This window comes from Homo sapiens, chromosome 20, assembly GCF_000001405.40.
Source record: "Homo sapiens chromosome 20, GRCh38.p14 Primary Assembly".
Taxonomy (NCBI): domain Eukaryota; kingdom Metazoa; phylum Chordata; class Mammalia; order Primates; family Hominidae; genus Homo; species Homo sapiens.
In genome coordinates, this window is record NC_000020.11 from 56,101,484 (window position 1) to 56,104,833 (window position 3,350).

A 3,350-nucleotide genomic window follows, 5' to 3' on the forward strand; every position below is an offset into this window, starting at 1 on the left:
CAACCTTCAAGAAGTGAAAGTATACTGTCAAGCTAAATTAGGCAATGCCACAATAACAAATAAACACTCAAAATCCCAGCAGCTTAACATAACATAAGTTGATTTCTCTCTCAAATGTATTCCAACACAGGTCTGGAACTCTATTGTGAAACTCTTCTCCACGTAGTGACTCAGGGACCTAGGATCCCTCCACCTTGTGACTTTACCATCTCAACATATGACCTCCGGGATAGAGTGATTATGTGTTAACAAAGGCCAGGCATTCAGCCTATGTCCCATTGCTTCCCACACAGAAAGCCAATCACTGAGACAATGAGTAATGCCAGGGAAAAAGGCTTTATTATGGGTGACATCAGCCAAAGAGATGGTAGGAAAACTTCAAACCCTTCTCTCTCCCTTGACTAAAGTTAGGGGTTTATATAGCAGAGAAGGAAAACAGGAGGGGGAAGGAAGTGGAGTTGGTCAACAGGCAGCAGGTGGTCAAATGAGGGGTCTGGCATCTCTTTGTAGCCATGTGAAGGAAGAAGGAATTAGGGAGGGGTGAGAAAGAGGATGTGGTTGACATGCAGCAGGTGCATCTCAGTGTACAAATGTAAGTTTCTCAAGCTTCTGTCCTATGGGCATCCAGCTTGTTGGAAATTTGGGCTCGTTTCTTATGGATGTGTCACAATTACTCTTAAACGTCTCAGAATGGAAGTGAAATATGTATCACTTCCACTCTCATTTCTTTGGCTAGGATTCATCACATGATCCTGCCAAACTGCAAGGCAGGCTGGGAAGTTTAATTTTCCCATATGCCCAAGATACACCTGAGCCAAGAATTCTCTACCACAGCTAATATGAGTGAGAATCAGAGAATTTTCATATATTTTGTGATAAGTAATCTTTGCTTAGAATGAACAAAAACTGAAGTCAATACCATTATGCACCTTGGCTTTATTTAAAAGCTATTTGTGTAACATATATTTGACTAATAGAACATACTGTACCCACCTAAATATATAATGTATCTACCTGGACTCTGCCTAGATCCAGCTAAATGGCTCAGATTATCAATCAGGTGGTTTTTGTGGCTTTTAATTATCACAAACCATCTGTAAGAAAAGCCAGTTTCAGGAGGAAATAGGGTTACTTGCTTTTAGGTCTCTTTGATCCAGTAATATACGGATCATTTTGGTCTGACTTCCTAGGTGAAAACAGGAGGCAACAGAAGGGAGCACTTCTCCCTCTTATTTAATCTCTAACCTTGAAAAAACACTCAAACAGACGTGAGTATGTATCAGAGAGTTCCCATGACAACCAATTCTCACCCTCTCCTGTCTTTCAGAACACCATGAAGTCATCTTCTACTTACTCACAATTGGATTATAAACTGTGTGAGGGCAGAGCCTAAGACTAACTCATGTCTGCGTTCTAAGATACTGGAGCAGTGTCTGGCTCATAAAGGACATCAATGGGTGTCCTAAATACATGTCAATTGCTTGAATTGAATGACAGGGCAGATTGGCTATGGGGCAGGTCTCAGAGTGTGTAGGTTTATTCCTAGAGCATATGGGCCCGGAACTTTCTTCAGGAAAGAAGGTCTGGGAAGTATGTGTGCAGTGACATTTCTTGTGTTCCTCCCTAACTTGAAAATCCCCCTCTTCTGACAACAGTGAGGCTCTAGGACCCTGTCCTTACACTTAGTGGACCCAAGCATGGAGCATGTGACCCTGGCCAGAGCCAATCAGAATATCCCTGGCCAGTGGTTCAGGAGTGGGCACATAAGCTAAGTCAGCCCAGCAAGAATGAATCTTAGGACTTCTTCAAAAATTACTGGAAAAGACACTTGCTCTTTCCTGCTGAACTTGAATAGAAAGCTGGAGTCACTGGAGCTCTCATGCCACTATAGGGACCATCGGAATGAAGCCAACACACCAAGGAAAGCCAGAATGCTGAAAGACACTAGTTACTGCTGAAATAGCTTGAAGCAAGTAACCAGTTTTACCCTTGGACTTTTCCTATTCCTAGGTATAAGTCCAACTAGTAGAGCCACGTCTCTAGGAAGGTCAGCAAGACAGGAGCCTTTTTTATTGTTATTCTTTAGCATTAAATAAAGGCTGGAGATTGGACATTTCAAGCTCCAGGGTCTATGTTTGGATCTTTATCATCAGCCTTGAATGCTTGAAAATGATACCACAATGGCCTAAGAATATGATGATGAATTGTATGTAAGCTGTCTGCATATCAGAATTTATAATTCTATCTAGGATTCGGATCCAAAGCAAATTCTCTTATGTTTTATTTTCTTCCCATTTCCTCCTCCACATTTCCCAGCCTACTAGCAACTAGCCATTAACCAGTCATAGCCAGTGACATGTGGGCAGAAGTGATGTGTGTCACTTCTGGCTGAGAGAGCAAAAAGCCCAGGTTCAATTCTCCTCCTCTCTGTAGCAACAGGGGATGCCATGTATTCCAGATGGTGCAGCTACAGCTAAAAATGACAGCAAAGCCATCAGCCTAAGACCTTGAGAGACTCTATGGAGCAGAGTCCTCTGGCAACCTGCAATGGGATGTGAGGTCTGCATGAGAAAAAAAGAACCACTTCTATTGAGTTAAGCCACTGAGATCTGGAGGCTGATGTTTAAAGAAGCATAACTGGCCAATTTCTACAATTCATGGAGATTTGTAGGTTTTTTTTTTTTTTTTTTTGAGACGGAGTCTCTCTCTGTTGCCGATAGGTTTCTAATTGTGCTTTCCCCAATAACTCAGAAAATATTTTCCTTCAAGTTTTAAGTTATACCAGAAGCATTAAATAGTGGGAAGAGCATTTCCAAAGGTCTTGCCTAGGTCAATCAAGACAGGAGGTTGATCTAAATAATTACTCATATGAGGAATCTCAAACAACAAAAGTAAAGTAGGTATTTGTTTGAGGAATACATAAGGGAAAATATCAAAATAAAACCAGAAATCCCTGGCACCAACATGTAAAGGTTTTCTCTTCTCATAAGAAAAAAGTGACTACTAGACAAACATCATTAACCTTAAGCAATATAAACTGCAGTCATTCTGTCTGCATATATCAGCTGTTGTGAGATCATTTTCTCTCAACTCTTTTATATACATATGTCTCCACAAATTGACCAAAGAGAAACTTGTCTATTTTTGTAAAATGGAAGTCTCATTGGCATTTTTAGTTATTGATGAAAGTAAGCTTTCTTAATCGCTTAATAAATACACAGAAAGTGCTAATAATTTTTTTTGAGACGGAGTCTCACTCTGTTGCCCAGCCTGGAGTACAGTGGCATGATCTCAGCTCACTGCAACATCTGCCTCCTGGATTCAAGTGATTCTTCTGCCTCACCCTCCTG

The 3,350-nt window shown here is 41.0% G+C and overlaps 1 long non-coding RNA gene across 1 annotated transcript; it reads left to right on the forward strand.

The window, feature by feature from the left end:
• The first annotated feature begins 290 nt into the window (after nucleotides 1-290).
• LOC105376989 (uncharacterized) lies at nucleotides 291-2,119 on the forward strand. The gene is made up of 2 exons (XR_936891.1): nucleotides 291-367; nucleotides 1,328-2,119. It is a non-coding gene; the product is annotated as an uncharacterized LOC105376989 (long non-coding RNA).
• Nucleotides 2,120-3,350: the final 1,231 nt, after the last annotated feature.